At 54.6% G+C, this 16,816-nt stretch overlaps 1 protein-coding gene across 5 annotated transcripts in view, besides 3 other annotated features; it reads right to left on the bottom strand.

Moving 5' to 3' along the window:
- The window catches only part of KCNQ1 (potassium voltage-gated channel subfamily Q member 1), a 404,098-nt gene that overhangs the window by 128,965 nt on the left and 258,317 nt on the right, over positions 1-16,816 (bottom strand). The window lies entirely within an intron of this gene.
- Positions 813-1,712: an enhancer, noted in NCBI's record as "H3K4me1 hESC enhancer chr11:2739659-2740558 (GRCh37/hg19 assembly coordinates)". NCBI's record gives its function as "activates a minimal SCP1, AML or CMV promoter by ChIP-STARR-seq in primed H9 embryonic stem cells {active_cell/tissue: H9 hESC(primed)}" and the evidence as "EXISTENCE:reporter gene assay evidence [ECO:0000049][PMID:30033119]".
- Positions 5,595-6,237: an enhancer, noted in NCBI's record as "H3K4me1 hESC enhancer chr11:2735134-2735776 (GRCh37/hg19 assembly coordinates)". NCBI's record gives its function as "activates a minimal SCP1, AML or CMV promoter by ChIP-STARR-seq in naive H9 embryonic stem cells {active_cell/tissue: H9 hESC(naive)}" and the evidence as "EXISTENCE:reporter gene assay evidence [ECO:0000049][PMID:30033119]".
- Positions 11,760-11,930: a silencer, noted in NCBI's record as "fragment chr11:2729441-2729611 (GRCh37/hg19 assembly coordinates)". NCBI's record gives its function as "represses an EF-1alpha promoter that drives an FKBP-Casp9 reporter gene in an ReSE screen in HepG2 liver carcinoma cells {active_cell/tissue: HepG2}" and the evidence as "EXISTENCE:reporter gene assay evidence [ECO:0000049][PMID:32094911]".

Below are 16,816 nucleotides of genomic sequence, written 5' to 3'. Positions count from 1 at the left end.
ACCCTCCAGTGGGTTTGGGAACTGAACCCCACCTCTTTCAGCAGGAGCCCCTCCAGTGAGCTGGCATGGAGGGACACGGACAGTAAGGGACTTGTTTTGGGACATTTTGCAGTTTGCTACATTTGCATGTATGGTGAAGCGGCTCCACCTCCGCCCAGGCGTGCAAGGGGTCAGACCCTGGGGTCTTTTGAGTGGTTCGCTGACCTAGCTATACATCTGTGATGCAGGTTTGATCTGTGTCCATTTCCGTCTTTCTGTCACTGAAAATGATGGACTATTCGGACACCTCCAAGGGCCACAGCTACATCAGGGCTGTTTGTTTCTCTGAAACCAGCACGGTGTTTGGCTCCGAAGCTCTGCACCCAGGCCCATTCTCCAACCCAACACTGTGTGGTGAGAAACACAGGTGCCAATTTCCCCAAATGATCCGAGGGCAGGACTTCCTACACTGTCCTGCCCTGGTTTCCTTTGCTACTGCTGGGCCTTCCACCACCAGCAAGGCTCGCCAGCCAGCAGGCAGCATTTGGGTGATAACAAATGAGGGTTTTCAGCTGGAGAGGATTCTCTGACTTCTTATTTTGATCTGTGTTCTCTGAACTCTGGGATTTGTGTGCAGGGGGTGATAATGGTTTTTTTTTTTGTTTGTTTGTTTGTTTGTTTTTGAGTGCCTGGTCAACACGTCAATCACAGTCATCATGGCTCACTGCACTCTTGACCTCCCAGGCTCAGGCGATCCTCCCATCTCAGCCCCCAAACAGCTGGGACCACAGGCACGCACCACCTTGTATGGCTCTTTTTTTTTTTTTTTTGGTAGAGACAGAGTCTCGTTATACTGCCCAGGCTGGTCTCTAACGCCTGGCCTCCCAAAGTGCTGGGACTATAGGCACCAGCCTGTGATAATGGCTTTAGCCAGCACCACCTTCTGTGTGTTCTCCTAATCTTATGTACATAGCCATTGTTACCCCCAATGAGAGACAAGAAGCCTGAGACTTGGGAGGTCAGCTCTGCACCCGAGAGCACACGGCTGGAGATGGTGCTCTGCGGTTGGGGCTCCACTTGCCACAGGGCCTCCTGCCCCAGCACACACTCAGGGGCGGGAGGGGGGTCACAAGCGTAGATGAGTATCTGTGGTCTATGGTCCCTGGCAGACGCCAAGCCTTCACCCCAGGGTGGGGATTCAGTAACTCTTGGAATAGCCCAGGAATCTGCATTTGAATGGACTTCCTGACCTTAAGGTGCATGGCAGGGAGGGTGCAGACATGAAGGCCCTTACAGGCCCAGTAATGACCCGGGATGCCTGCCTAGCCAGCTCTCAGATCCCTGTAGTAAAATGGGCACCTGGATGCTGATGGGAGTGCCTGGCACAGCAGGGTCCAGGGCTTGGTCAACACCAGCGTGGACATTAACCTTTTAGTGTGGTCCTAACTGCAACTGCCCTTCCCCTGACAGATATAAGTGGCCCTAGCCCAGGTCATCTAGTACGGAGCCAGCTGGGGAGTCATGCGTCTACACAAAGCACGTAGACGACTTCTGGACAGTCCAGGCCATGCATGTGCTCCAAGGAGCCTCAGCTAGCTCAGATGCCCGAACTATCCTCCATGACATGTACGAGTCAGCCTTGCATCCACTGGAAGCCAATTCCTGGGGTTCATCATCCCTGTCCTCCCCTCTGCTCATCCACATCCTCAGAGCTGTGCCCCATGAGGCTACGGGGAGGGGCTGGTGCTGCGGGGATCAAGTTCCGGCTTCAGGAGGGGCCCTGAGGTGGAAACAGGCAGGTGAGGAGGGGGTCAGCCAGATGCAGGGAAGCCAGTCTGGGGCTAGGGATGGAGTGTGGTGAGGCACCCTAAGTGTGGGGGTCTACCTGGGGCTCAGGCCCCTGAAGCCCAGAGCAAGCACAAGGTGTGTGAGGGGGATGTGGGGAAGGACGGAGCAGAGGAAGGCAGCTGTCAGGGGAGGGCCTCTGGGCTGCAGTGGGGCTCTCAGCTCCCCCGAGGGCAGGGAGGGCCTCAAAGTGTTTAAGCCAGGACGGGGCACGCGGGTGTCAACCCGGCTCTTCCAGAAGAGGCAGCTCCACAGACATTGAACATGCCCTGAGACTACACCCATCAACAAAACAAAACAAGGTTCACTTCTGCGACAGACGCAGCTTTCGCAGCCTTCAGAAACCAAGGAAGCCATGCCAGGTGTGGTCTTTACTCCATGACCACGGCAGCCCCTAAAATGCTGGGCTAATACCCCGGGGGGCTCAAACCTGGAGGCCCTGGGGCGAGTGGGCCATCGGGGGAGAGGGGGTTCCTCTGGCCCAAGGTCTTGGACAGGCGTGTGCTCCCTGCTCTCCAGCCGCTGTGAGCTGCTTTCCTGTCTACCCGCTCTCTATCTCAGGCTCCCCAGTGCTGCCCTGCGGCACCTCCTGCCATCTGTCTTTCCGTTTCTGCTCTTCTGAAAGCTTGTGTTTAAAACAAAATTAAGAAGCCAGTTCATACGGGCCTGGGGAACTTTCCTGAATATGGGGATGGGAGGATTGGGACAGGAACGTTCCTGGGTGGGGCCGTGACCTCCCGGAGCTCCTCTCCCTCACCCATCCTAAGCCAGGCCCTGGTGGGGCAGAGGCACTTTCATTAAAAGGTTCTGGAAGAAAGCCAGGGAAAAGGGTGGAAAACTGGGAAACAGGAAGGGAAGAATTCCACCTGGGCTACCCAGAAGTCTCCCTGTGGCTTTGCTGTCTACCTTCTCAGTATGTAGATTTTGGGGAACATTGGCATACTGTGCGCAGAGGTGTGGGCTGCGATCACAGAAGCCTGGGAGGGCCTGGCTGTCGAGGCTCTCACTCTGGGGTAACCCTCAAGCTGACATCCAGCTTGTGATTCCTGCTCCCCAACAGCCTTTGAAATGGCCCAGGTGACCCGACCAAGCCGTGGGGTCTGAGGGACACCATGCCAGGCCCAGTCTGTGTCGCACTGCAGCCATCAGTGGAATTGCCTGCCCTGCCAGGAGTAGGAAGGAAGACTTGGGTTGTCTGCAAGAGCACCTGGGTCCCTGAGCAGAGCCCCGGCCACTTCATGGTGGACAAGCAGCACCAGAGGGCAGGACATCTGGGGGGCTGTTTGTCACTCAGCAGGACCATGGCTGTGCTGGCGAATACAGGGCCCACTGAACAGCTCCACAGGCACCACTGAGGTTCCTGTACTCACATAGGGGATATGCACAGAGCTCCTACTGCAGGCCTGGCCTTGGGCCAGAGTGATGTCTGCCAGTCACCCAGTATTCAGGATGCACTGGGTCCTGGCTCCTGCCTGCCCTCGGCTCCCTCCAAATGTGGGAAGAGATGGTTGCTTTGGATCCAGAACACCAGTGCTCCTGGCCTGTTCAATGCGGGCCACCCAGTTCCACCTCCTGAAGGAGAAGCACCGCGCTGCCCGTGCCTTTCACGGCTGCCTTCCGTAGTGGGGAATCTGGAGTCTCTGGGGCTTGGGGCCTACTGTAGCTGAGCGGCCCTCAAGATAAGATTTCTGGGAGGCAGGGAATGGAATTCCACCAGGCCCTGCAGAACTGAAGCTGCGTGTCCTAACACCGCTTGGCAAGCCAACCCACAAGAGCCTGGGTGGGAAGCACACGCCTGGGAAGCTGGAGCCTGGCCCTGGAGGCTGGGGACAAGGCTTTTCTGCTGAGAAAGGACACCCAGCCATTCCTCGAGAGCCTAGCTGAGGAGGCTTGGGGACTGTGTTCTGGCCAATGGGCCACCTTTTCCCACTGTGGCTTGGCCAGCTGACCACGCAGCTCCACTCCCCAAAGCTGTGCCCTAGAGGGTTCCTTGAGAGCCGCAGCACATCTGATGCAGAGGGTAGGTGTGGGCGCTTCAGCTTGGAGCTTTTTTCTGACTTCTTTCCCTAGTGAGAGGACCGCTTGAGCCTGGCCCGGAGAGGGTACATGTTGCTTTGGGGTTATTCACGACCCCTCCAAAAGTGAAAAATTGTTAAGTGATACAAACAGCCATTAATGAGGATCCGGCAACCAAAACGCTCAAGGGAGGCTAGGAATAGGGGCTCCGACCCCGGCGGTGGGGTCAGTGCTCTGCAGACAGCGCTTGCCCATTACTCTCAGTGCATGAGAGGTCAAAGGCAGGGCAGCCTCTCCCAGGGCCATTCCTCACCAAGAGGCCAGCCCAAAGGGTTTGGAGGTGACGTGGGGGACAGGTTTATGGTTTGCATCACCATGGTTCCCACTCTGGCCACCCCCTCTACCCACTCAATCACCCAAGCTCTGGCTGGTGTGGCCACCCTCAACCTCAGGAGGCTGGGAGGCATTTAGACCAGCGCAAGGCTGCGGGGATGTGGGATGCGGGGCTGCTCCAGCTGGTCAACCCTCACAGGCAGGGCCAGCTGGAATGTGGCCAGAGGGACAGGGTGTGATATGAGGGTGCCCCAGAGGGCTCCCCATACCCCCTTTGCTGGTTCCCCTTCCCCCAAGAGGTCCTTCTGTGTTTGACCACCTGGGGAGTCACAGGTTCCAAGGCTGGCAGGGGCTTGGAAGGATGGGTCCCAGGGGACCCCAGCAGGGGTGGTGGAAGAGGAAGGCTTGGGCACAGGCATCCCCAGGTACACTCCGGCTGGAAACGAAGTCTACCTGGCTGCTCTCTTCCCCCTGGGCCTTCACACATGCCCCTGCCTGAGCCAGGCTGCAGGGGGTCCTCCCTGGCCTCCCCCCATTCCCACACTGGCCAACAAAGGGTCTGGGTAATCTGCAAAGCCCCCTCCTGCCCCACTCCTGCCTGCTCTGTCCACCTTCCTGGCTCCTCCGGGGTAAGGGCCCTCCATGACACAGCCCGCAGGTCTTTACAGGTTCCCTTGAGCTCTCCAGAGAGCAGAGAGTCAGACAGAGGCTCAGCACCAAACCCCAGCTGGCCACTTTCTAGCTGTGTCTCTACTGAGGCTCCTTGGCTGTAAATGGAGCGGGTGGCATGGGGTGCCCATGCTGAGGTTCATGGGAGGATGGGTGAGGGGCATCTCATGTTTGGGTCAAGACACTTGCGGTCATCCTCGCCAAGTATCATCAGTGGCATTACCGCCGGACCCCACCCTGCTACTCCTCACCAGCACCAACCACCGGCAATCTGCCCAGCTGCACCCTGGAGCTCTGCTTGTGTGACACCTGGCCCTGGCTAGGCCCCTCCTGCAGGCTCCCCCCTGGCTTTGTGCCCCCATTAGAGTATCCAGGTAACACTGACGAGCTGGAGAGCATGTGTCCTGAGGGACCCAGAAGTCAGGTCCCCAGGACCTCCATTCTTTCTGAAAGGCACCTCTGTCTGCATCATTCCCTTGCTTGGGGAAGGGATGCCACCATTGGAAAGATGACGACGATGCTGCAGCCACCCTCAAGATGCTCTCCTACCCCTACCACCCCGGCCCCAAGGGCTTCGTGTCCCTTTCTGGGATGCTGGCTACAGCTGGTGCCTTCACCTCCCAGGCGTTTGCAGGTGCTATGTCCGCCACCTGGCATGCCGCTTCCTCCTTTGAGATTCCACCTCTGTGAAGCCTGGCCTCGCCCCCCACACCCCATATGTCCACCCAACACTCCCTGCAGCTGTGAGCTCCTCCATCTATCTAGAGCACCTATGGCGTCACAGCCCTGTGCCCAGCCCTGGGGATTCAGAAGTGCACAGGGGAAGCAGAGAGAAGACAGTTCTCACTGATGGCAGAGGGGCTGTCCAGCTGCCCTGACTCCACTGCCACCACACTTAGCCCTACCCCGGGAGCCCCAACCCAGGAGAGTACCAGAGCCTGTGGCCCAGCAGGCAGCTCGCCCATAGTGCCTGCTGCCTCTCACGGGCCTGGGAGGGGGCTGACCTTGCGGCTCAGGCCATGTGAGGTGAGTGGGCTGCCAGGGAGGTGAGGCCCAACCCCCCCATGAGATGCGGAATGCTGGAATGCTCCCATTTGACTTATCCTGTGGATGAGATGGAGACGCAGGACCTCTCCAGCCTGGGCACTGCGCCTGCCCAGGACTGTGCCCTTCAGGGAGCAGGCCCCAGCAACAGGAGAGGCTCGGAAAGAGTCCTGGCCCGCATCCTTGGCGCTCTATCTCTGTGGAGACTGCCTGTGTGGGGGAGGGCTGCAGGCCTGGGTGCCCCAAGGCGCCCCCCACACACCCCTGAGTGGCAGCCACCTGGAGCTCCCTGAGTTAGCAGGAACCGAGCAGGAAGCAGAGAACAAAGGCGCGGCAGTGAGCGGCGTGCTGGGCCATCGTGTCTGCAGGGCCAGGCTCCGAGCGCGCGTTTGCCCATCTGGAAGCAATATTGCAGTAATGTAAGACGGCCAGAATACGGTATATCCTCTGAATCCATGAACTCTACAGTGAGGAATATGGATTTAATGGATAATCTTACCAGCAGCCAAGAGAACCCAGATTCCTCCCCAGGCCTTCACCCGGCACTTGGCTTCTCCTGCAACCCAGCTCGGCCAGAGGCCCGCAGAGCCTGTGGCTGTGGCCTCCAGAACAGGGGCCGACCCATAATGTCAGCTCACTTTTTTCTCTTGCTGGGTGGGTCGAGGGAGAACAGAAACCTATCCACGGCCAACAAGGGTGCCTGTCCTCCAGACCCCCTTCCCACAGTGGGAAAAATTCAGCTGGAGAAAGTGAAGAAATAATGGGGATGGCGATTAATCAAAATCTACAATGGCTGTGACTTGTTCTGGAATCTGGGGGAGAAGAAACCATTTCTGTAGCTCTTCCCAACGTAATATAGCTGGAATAATAAAATAAAACAATAAAAACCACAGCGGAAAAGATGACTGGAGAGTTTTTATGGCGAGCAGCAGAGGAAGAGCCCAGAAGGCCTGAGAAGCGCAGTGAACAATGTGATTCAGGGAACGTTTCCAGGGAGCGGAGGAGGAGCGGGATGCAGGTCCGGCTGGCTCGGGACACCAAGCAAGTAGGGGCTCCAGGCTGCTCAGTCCACGGAAGCCACATCCCAGGCATGGTCCTGGCCCCTCTCCGGGATCTCATTTCAGAGGCTCATTAACCCTAATGTAAAATCCCCCAAATACCAAATGCTTCACAAAGTTGTTAATTTCATGGGGAGTCGTTAGCCTGCTGCCTTCTGGGTGCCCCATGCCAAGGGGTGGTTCCTCATACTTACCAGGTCTCTGGTTCCTCATACTTACCAGGACCCCTGCCCCACCCTGTTTACAACCCGGGTGTCTTCCAGGGAGCTGATCTTGCTCTGACAACTGCCTTGGAGGGAGGCGGGGGCTGCAGTCCTTCCATTTCCCATGCTGCCTCCTCCCTGTGTCCAGCCCCCAAACTCTCTAGGAGATGCCATGTGTGCTCCCAACCCAGAGGCTGTGAGGGAGTCCCGTGCAGAAAAAGTGCAGGAGCCAGGGGACTCTGGCTTTCCAGCCACTGGTGTGGTTGCGGATGGCAAGGAAGGCTGAGGCTGGAGTGTCCACAGGGCTCTCCTGTAGGCCTGAGCAGGGATGGGGGCCTTAGCCAGCCCCTTCTTCATGTTCCAAGGGGAATATGGAAGCCCCTAAGTCTCCTCAAACCACCTAAGAGAGAAGAGTGTCTAACATTTGGGCCGCCAGCATGCATTCAGCTGGGGCGGTGTCTGGCCTGGTGGCTTCGGGAATATGTGGGCGAGATCTCCACTCTATCCCTAAATACCTCACTATGATTACTGGGGGCTCTGCTCTGAGTCTCCCCACAGCTTTCCAGGGGATGGCTGGTGAGTCTAACATCCCCCAGGCCGGACTCCTGTTCCTGCCCCATTTGCACCCCAGCCCCAGCGAGGGTTGTGATGATCTCCTGAGGCCAGGCTGCCCAGCTAGAGTCTGCTTCCCCCAGGCAGGGGTCACCAGTGTCAGTCCATCCCACACGGTAACTCCCACATCTAGTAGAGGGCCGGGCACCCAGAAGGCACTCAATAAATGCAGGGGGTGTGGATGAATAGAGAGCCGGCAAGTGTTCATGGCTTAAATGAGATGCAAGCACAAAACCCCACTCAGGTTTCCAAAGGGCTAGAAAGCCGTTACCTCCTTGGATCCTGGCCTCTCCCTGGCTCTCTGGGAGGCAGGGAGCACAGAAACGATTTCTCCTTTTTACAGATGGGTAGAGATTCAGCAAGGCTGGGCATACCATTTGGCAGTGATCCAATTTGGTCCAAAAGGACTTGGCTGTGTGCTGCCCAAGGGGATGGACACAGGTGAGCAGGTGAGCAGCCCCAGCCACCTGCCACCTGCCATGCCTCAGGGCCAGCCTTTCCCGTGAGCCAACTCTGCCTCCCCTCAAAGGCACCCTCCTCAGAAGCAGTGCCAGGACCCTCCCTCCTAAGTCTGCTGAGTGGATTTGAGACCCTCGAGTTGAAAGGAAATTTGAAAAATAAAACTCCTTTGTAAGCTGCCAAAGTTCTATTTCCCTGGTGGTAAAGCCTTAAGATACCTCACTTAGTTTAAGCACAGTTTACCGATTGTGAGGTCTGACTGGGAAATAGCTCCATTGTACCCACAGACCCTCTGTGGGACCCTGTGCCTTGTGCATGGCCGTGGGGTACAGAGGTTGGTGGGATAGTGGAGTCACCCTGGCCTCCGAGAGCCCCGTTCTGGGCAGGCGACACCCAAGGTTGAGAAGATTCCACAAGCTGCCACAGAGCACTTGGATAAGATGGTGGCTCAGTAAGCCCACAGGAGGTGTTTCATGACGGCTCACAGAAAAGGGAGGAGAGAGAACACTCCAGGCAGGATGCAGGATGTGCAAAGACTTGGGCAACAATTAGTGCGCAAGACAGGAGACCACAAAGAAGCATTACCAGAAGCCAAGGGCCTGAAAGGGGCCATGAGCCCTGGAGTCGGGGAGAGACTCCAAGGGAGATGGGCTGGAGGATGGGCAGAACCCAGTACATGGGGAGGAAGTATGGCTGCCAGTCACTGTCACACAAAACCCTGTAGGATTTACAAAGTAGTGCAAAAACTATACTGAAAACTATGAGATATTCTTGAACCAAATTTTTAAAAATCCAAATACAATGAAATACATGCTCTTGGATTGGAAGACTTAACACATTGTTAAGATGGCAATACTCCCCAAGTTGACCTACAGATTCAATGCAATCCCTATTGGTATCCCAGATGGTTTCTTTGCAGAAATTGACAAGCTGATTGTAAAATTCATATGGAAATTCAAGGGACCCAGAATAGCCAAAATAATCTTGAAAAAGAAAAACAAAGTTGGAAAACCCACTTTCCAATTTTAAAACTCACTACAAAGCTATAACAATCAAGACGATATAGTACTGGCATAAGGATAGACAAACAAATCAATAGAATAAAATTGAGAATCCAGAAATAAACCTTCATATTTACTGTCAACTGATTTTTGACAAGGGTATCAACATCCTTCACTGAGGAAAGAAGAGTCTTTTCAACAAATGGTGTTGGGATAACTGTCTATCCACATGACAAAGAATAAAGTTAGACCCCTACCTCACACCATATGTTAAACTAACTGAAAGCGGATGAAAGACCTAAGTGTAAGAGCCAAAACTATAAAATTCTTGGAAGAAAATATAGGGGTAAATCTTTTTGACCTCAGATTACATGTTGTTATTTAGTTATGACACCAAAAACATAAGCATCCAAAGAAAGAAACAGATAAATTGAACTTCATCAAAATTAAAAACCTTTGTGAGTCAAAGGACATGATCAAGAAAGTGAAAAGACAACCCACAAAAAGGAAGAAAATATATCTGATAAGGAACTTGAATCTAGAATATAAAAAACTTATATCTAGACTATAAAGAACTCTACTAAATAATAAAAACACAACCCAATTAAAATTTGGGCAAAGAATTTGAATACATACTTCTTCAAAGAAGAGATACAAATGGCTAATAAGATGCTCAACATCATTAGTCATCGGGGAAATGCAAATCAAAACCACTAGGAGATATCACTTCACACCCACTAAGATGGCTAAAATGAAAACGGCAGACAGTAACAAGTGTTGGTGAGAATGTGGAGAGATAGGAACTCACATACACTACTGGTGGGAATGCAAAATGGTGCTGCCACATTGGAAAACAGTCTGGCAGATCCTCAAAAGGTTAAATATGGAGTCACCATATGACCCAGCGTTTCTACTCCTCTGTGAATACTCAAGAAAAATGAAAATCTATGTCCACAATAAAAACTCGTACCCAAATGTTCCTGGCAGTATTATTCACTAATAGCTAAAAAGTAAAAATGGCCCAAGTGTTCAATGAATGAATGGATAAATAAAATGTGATAATATCCATAAAATGGCATATTATTTGGCCCTAAAAAGGAATGAAACACTGATACATGCTACAGCATGAATGAACCTCGAAAACCTTAGGCTAAGTGAAAGAAGTCAGCCACAAAAGTCTGCTTAGTGTGTGATTCCAGCTATGTGAAATGTTCAGAACAGGCAAACCCGTGGAGATAGAAAGCAGAGCCGTGGCTGACTGGGGCTGGGGAATGAGAGAAGGGAAGTGGGGAGTGACGGCTAAAGAATGCAGGGTTGCTTTTAGGGGCACTGAAAATGTTCTGGAACTAGATAGTGTGATGGTTGCGCAACTCTGAACGTACTAAAAACCGTTGAATCGTACACTTTAAATGGGTGAATTGTATGGTATGTGAATTTTATCTTAATAAAGCTGTTACAAAAACAAAAATGAACACCAAAAAATACAAAATAAAAAAAAAACAGCCCTGCAGGACCGTAGCACCAGAGCAGACACCGAGAGTGGCTCCCAATTCCAGGAAGCCCCCGCAGGTCCTGGCGTCTGAGCCTCTGCCCGCTTCTTGCTGCACGGTTCCCAGGTTTGATATTTCTCATGCTGAAAGCCCAGGAACAGGGAGCCAGAAGTCCTCTGCAGCTGGGGCTGGGGGGTGGGGGTGGGGGGGGCCTGGAAGCCGTGCAGGAGAGATGGAGGCTCCCACGCTCCAGGGCCAAGCTGACGTGACTAAAGCTAAACAGACCCCGTGCCACAACAGGGTTACAGCGAATTCTGTGCAGCACACTCAGCCGCTCGCCAGTGATGGCAGCCTCAGGGAGGGGCGGTGGAGCAGGCAGCCCCAAAGGTAATTTGCACACGGAGTTTATAAGGCCCCTCAGCTCTTTTAAACATATGCTTCTCTGATTATAAACAGCTGATGGCTCACAAGATTCAGATTTTCCAGCAGGGCTTCCAAAAAAAGATTGCACTCCAAGCAGAGAAAGGTGACCGGGTGCTTTGCCGCAGACGTAAATCCAGCCATGTTCTCGCACAGCTGGAGCTGCCCCTGTTGCCAGGCTTCGAACATGTCACATCTTTAAAATGTTTGCTGCTATTGACATGTCCCAAGGAGGGCTTTAGCCCTGGCCATTGGCCTGGGGAGAGAACAGGGAGATGGAAATGGACCGCCCCCCGCAACCCGCGTATAAACTGTATCTTCTGCCTCCTAAGAGCTGAGGCTGCCTGAAACCCTCACCTCTTGCTCAGAGGTGCTTAGACCCAGATCAAGGGTCAAAATTAGAGGCCCTGGGGTGAGTCTTCTGGTCACTGCCCACCCTGTGCACCCCAGGGGTCTCCGCACCGACCCTCTTGGGGTTGGTCCCTTTGCTGCCTGCCTGGCCCACCAGGGGGATAAGCCTGGGCTCCACCTCCAGCCTCCTCAGCCCCACCCTCCTCGGGGGCTGTGGGTGCCCTGAAGAGAAGTTACAAAGAAAAGAAAGGAGCAGGGAGCAAAACAGAAACGCCAGCAAGGAGCCTCAGGACCACGTGCCTAAGTGAGCTCCCAATTCACTGCTTTGCCAAGTTCCGCTCAGCCATGCCAGCGGCCCGGGCCGCAGACACCAGTGAGGAAAGGGATCCTGTTGAGAAGAGTGTCAAAGTCAAGTCTCCAAAGCGGCTGCTGAAGAAGTGTGCACGGTGGGTTCAGGAGCTCTCTCCCTACTGAGGAAAGAGTCACAGAGGACTCCCCAGCCCAGTTCCATAAAAAACAATGTTGTGTTCAAGTGGAACAATTCATGAGCGTGGTCTCCTGGGTGCCCCCGATCTTGGCCATCTGTTTGGGAAATCTTGGGAAACAGGGGAACAGCCCTGAGGGGCCTGGTGCTTTGGGAGGTTGGCTGCCCACACCACCTCCTCGACCTGTGCACATTCACCCGGCCACACACAGGAACTCTGGGGGGTGGCACATGCAGGTTCGGCGCTCAAGAAGCCAAATGTGGGCCAAGGCACACCTGCCCTGTCCCCCATGCTCCATGAAAGGAGCTGCCTCTGCAAACAGGGGCTGTGTCCCTCACACCAAGGCCGTGTGGCAGAGGGGGAGGGATAGACCCTGGCTCCAGGATACCCAGGTGCAGCCCAGCTCTAGTAGCTTCTACATCCTAAGGCCTGCCCAATCCCTTGACCTTGCTATGCCTCAGTTTTCCCATCTCTACAGTGGGTGGTAGTGTGGATGAAGCCCTCAGAACCATGCCTGACATACTAAGTGCTACAGGACTAATTGGGAGATAAACAAAGCCTCCCTGCTTGGAGTGTGCCAGTGCACATCCATTTATCGCTCTCCTGGGTCCAGGCTGCTCTGAGAGCCTGGCAGGTCTCAGAGCTGGACCTATGAACTGACGGCCCAGAACACCAGCTAGGAGTAAGGTTGGAGGCAGGGGCTGCCTGGGGGTGGGGTGGGGGCACAGTCCCCAAAAGGGAGGGCTCTTGGAAGAGTGGTGGCAGCTCTGTGCCCAGGCAGGGCCTGACTAGGGCAGTTCTGTCCTGTTCTGTAACTTGCCTCCTGAGGGCTAAAGGAATTTCTCAACACTGCAATGTCTGCTTTTTATTCCAGTGGACGTTACAGCAGAAGCAATCCCTGCTTCTGGCACAGGCCTGTCCCCAAGACCCAGGGATAAGAGAAAAACAGTAGTGAGCTTTGGTGCTACTTCTCATCCACCTACAGCATCCCATCACCACCCCATCACACCTGCTCCCCCTTCTCTGTGGCTGACCCCAAGAGGGCCCTTTGACATTCCTGGGCATAGAAAACAAATTTGGGACAGAAGTGGCTGTTGAGAACCCCGCTCCTGGTCCTTGTGGGTGCTGCCCTTAGCCTTATCCATGTCCCAAGGAAATGGATTTGGTGTTCTCTTGGGGAGAAAAGGTCACCCGTTACATTTCCTAAATCACATTCCAACTGTCAGTTTCTCCCACCCATCACGCACCCTCTCCACCCACTCCACCCAAAATGCCACAGCTCTCTGCTGCCTTAGAGACTGCAGGAGTCAAAACCGCTCTCCTTTCTGGGAGTGGGACCTGCACCGGGGAGTGGTTCTCACGAGGAGCCTAGGTTAAGAGCCACTGGTCTGGTGGGCAGAGTTCAAACTCTGCAAGAGCAAAGACATGCTATGTATGCCTGGGGTGGGCATGCTACCTGGGCACAGTACTCTTTCTCCTGGGAGCCACCAACCATCAGTAAAAGCCAACAGGTAGGCTGAGCCCACTTTGCTGCCCCTGACAAGGGTCAGACTAAGCCTGGTGAGAGTGGGTGGCTCTGTCAGCTGGCCTTTGCTGTGTGACAAGTCACCCTACAGCTTCATTCCTAAAGCAGCCCACATTTATCATCCCACATGGTTTCTGTGGGCGAGGGATCTGGGGGTGGCTTGGCTGGGTGGTTCTGATCTCCTGTGAGGCTGCAGTCAAGGTGTAGACCAGGGCTGCTGTCTCATCAGAGGTTTGACTGGGGCTGGAGGATCCACTCCCAAGCTCATACAGGAGGCCATTTATAGGAGGCCTCAGTTCCTCACCACAGGACCTCTCCAGAGGGCTGCTAGTGTCCTCACACCATGGTGGCTGGCTTCCCCCAAAATCAGTGATCCCAGTGAGAGGGCAGGGAGGCTGCAAGGCCTAGTCTTGGAAGTCATGCTCTGTCACTTCTTCCATATTTTATTTGAAAGAAGCAAATCACAGTCCAGCCAAAACTTAATTAGAGGGGAATTAAGTGCCACTTCCGGAAGAACGGATTGTCAAAGGCCTTGTAGACACATACTAAAACCACCACAGCCACACGGTACCCCAGGTAGGTTTCCCTTTCTTTCCCATTCTTGTCTTTTTCCTCCAAATTACATCCATCTTCTGAGCCTGCCTAGCTTGATTAGAATATTCTCTTCAGGTTCTCTAAGGACCTTTACTGCCAATGACTCTGCACCCACTGCTCACCAGAGGCCTGGTGGGTTTCATTTCAGCAGCCTCACCCTCTACAAGTACAGAGCTGGGAATGGAGTAGGCTCTCTGCAAATATCTGTTCTCACTACAAATACCGATCCAGGGCCTTTTAATGCGTAAAACAAACTATAACCACCAGAGCGACAGGGATGGGGCTTTTTGTTAACACCTCTCCCAGGACTCAAGAGATAATCAGAAACAACTTCCCAGGTTGGCCCTGGCTGTGGCAATGTCCTCAAAGGCCTGGGCCCACTTTTCCCTGGCAGGCTGAGGGGATTGTTCTTGGCTGGGGGGCAGCTGTGGAAGTGGCAGGCCTGCACAGGAAGGGGGGCACACACCCCGAGCTTGGGATGCTTTGTGGGAGGAAGCTGCCTCTGGAAGGTGGTGGTAGAAAAGGCCCTGCAGGCAATGGGTCTGGCAGGCCCAGTTCACTTCATTTTCCCACCCCCCCGTGCCTGGCACCCAACCAGGCCCCAAGCAGGTGCTCAGGAGACAGCTGCTGAGTTAACCCGCGTCGAAGTGGGGGCTCTGGGAGAGTTGGGTTCGGCTAATCAAGGCTTGGCTGAGCAATGCCCAAACATATACACACACAGCACAGCTGCCCTCCCAATGGGAACTGGCCCACACCCCGTGCTGCCACTCATGGAGACCGCCTGAACTCCAGACCCCCCACCCGTCTGGCCTCACGTTATCACTGACCCCAAATGCAGGAACGCAAATCTGCCTGTGAGGACAGGCTGGGAGTGACCCTAACACAGCACTGTTGTCTGAGGGCATTCCCCGAGCAGCCCATGCTGAGGCTGCTCTTGCATGGGGGCTGAGACTGTCCTGGAATGGGGGATTCCCTGAGGGAGCAGGACCTGCATCTGTCACACTCTGTCAGCCTGAGCCGTGTGCCTCTCCCTGGGCCTTGGGTAGCTAAGACGGCAATGGACACCACAAACAGGCCATGCCACAGGGTGACAGTGCCCCAGAGCCACAGAGTTGTCACTGCAGCTGGGTGGAGGGATAGGGTCTGACCCCACTATATCCAAGCCAGATCTTCAGAAACCCTCCAAACCCGTCCTTCCCTTGGGCTCGCTCGTGGTCATACATGCACTAGGCTGCTACCCCTGTTGGATGCTGAGGGCTACCTTAAGCTCCTCCCTGTCCTCAGCCAGAAGTCTAGACAAAGTTGCCGCCTGAGGGAGCCCAGCCTGGCACTTCTCACACCTCCACAGATGCTCGCTTTCTCCAACCCTCCCATCTCTCTCACTGGGTGACGGCAAGTCCCCCGTAGTCTTCCCCCTCACCCTGCTGCCTCTCTTCAGTTCTCTCTCTGTTCAGCAGCCAGAGTGACCTTTCTAGAAGGGAGATCTGATCCTTGGCACTGCCTTGCCCAAAACCTCCTAGAGACTCCCCACTGTGCCTCCCCTCTGACGACAGCCTACAAGGCCCAAAAGGACCCAGAGCCTGCCCATCCTGGTGGGGATGTGATTTGGGTGGGGACATGAGTCCATGCCACCTGTGGGTACAGCAGAGACCTGGGGCAGGAAGTCAAGTAAACATGTCTCAAAGGAATAGCCGTCTCATGGGCTCAGTGGGAACAGAGTTGACAACAGGCCCATGTACCTGAAACCATCAAGTTGGAAGGGAAGCCCCAGTGGAATGCAGGTGCAGGCGACACACAGGCCACAGGAGGCGGAAGATTCTGGAACAAGGACATGGGCTGCAGGGTCAGCAGAAACCTATGACCAGTGAAGGAAGAAGGTGGGCGTTGCAGGATCACAGAGCCCTTACCCAGGACAGCTGCAGTGGTGGGTGTGTGGACCAATGCATGCAAAAAGCCTCACTGAAGGGGACCGAGGAGGGGCCACAGACTGCCAACTGCAAGGGCTGACCTTAAGAGCAGGCTTCCTGGCAATGCATCAGCCACTCAGGGATAACCCTGAGGTCCTAACCACCCCCACTCCCCCACGTTCCTGTCCACTCCTGAGAGCAGCGTGGGGTGGGGCCTTTCTTCAGATGGACTGCGGAGGCTGCCACGTGGCCCTGGGCCTCTCAGCTTCCGAGGGAAGCAGCAACTTGGGAACCTGGCTGGGTCTGAAGATGGTTCCACCCTTAGACTCCGAGGGTGGGGGCAGGGTAGGGAGAGAATTGAGGCCCACAGAACTCCTTGGCCAGGGCCTGCCACACATCCTGCTGCTTGGGTGAGGGGCTCCCACAGCAGTTCTTTCTCCTGCCTTGCACTGCAGAAGAGGACTGGTGTTTCCCCTGGGACACCGCCGGGGCTCTGGGCCCCATCTGCACTTCTGTGCTGGCAAATGCAAAAGAATTAGCTCAGCAACTTCCTCCCCTAATCCCCCACCCCCACTCTAAATACCTTGGAATCAAGAGAAAAGCCGAGTGGACGTTTTGAGCCTAATTCTCTTCAGCTGTGAGTGCGTGTGTGCGTGCGTGCTCTCGGGTGCACAGGCTTGCAAGGGAACCTTTTGAACCCCAAAGAGTAAAGCTGGAGGGAGTGCAAGGAACGCTAGCTCAGCCCCTACCATGTACAGATGAGGCAAACCAGACACAAAAGGAGAATGGGACCTGCCCTCTGTCACGTGGGGAGCTCAGGGAGTG

This window comes from Homo sapiens, chromosome 11 (genome assembly GCF_000001405.40).
Source record: "Homo sapiens chromosome 11, GRCh38.p14 Primary Assembly".
NCBI lineage: Eukaryota > Metazoa > Chordata > Mammalia > Primates > Hominidae > Homo > Homo sapiens.
Note: the sequence above shows the minus strand (reverse complement) of the source record. Positions and strands in the feature narration are given on the sequence as shown.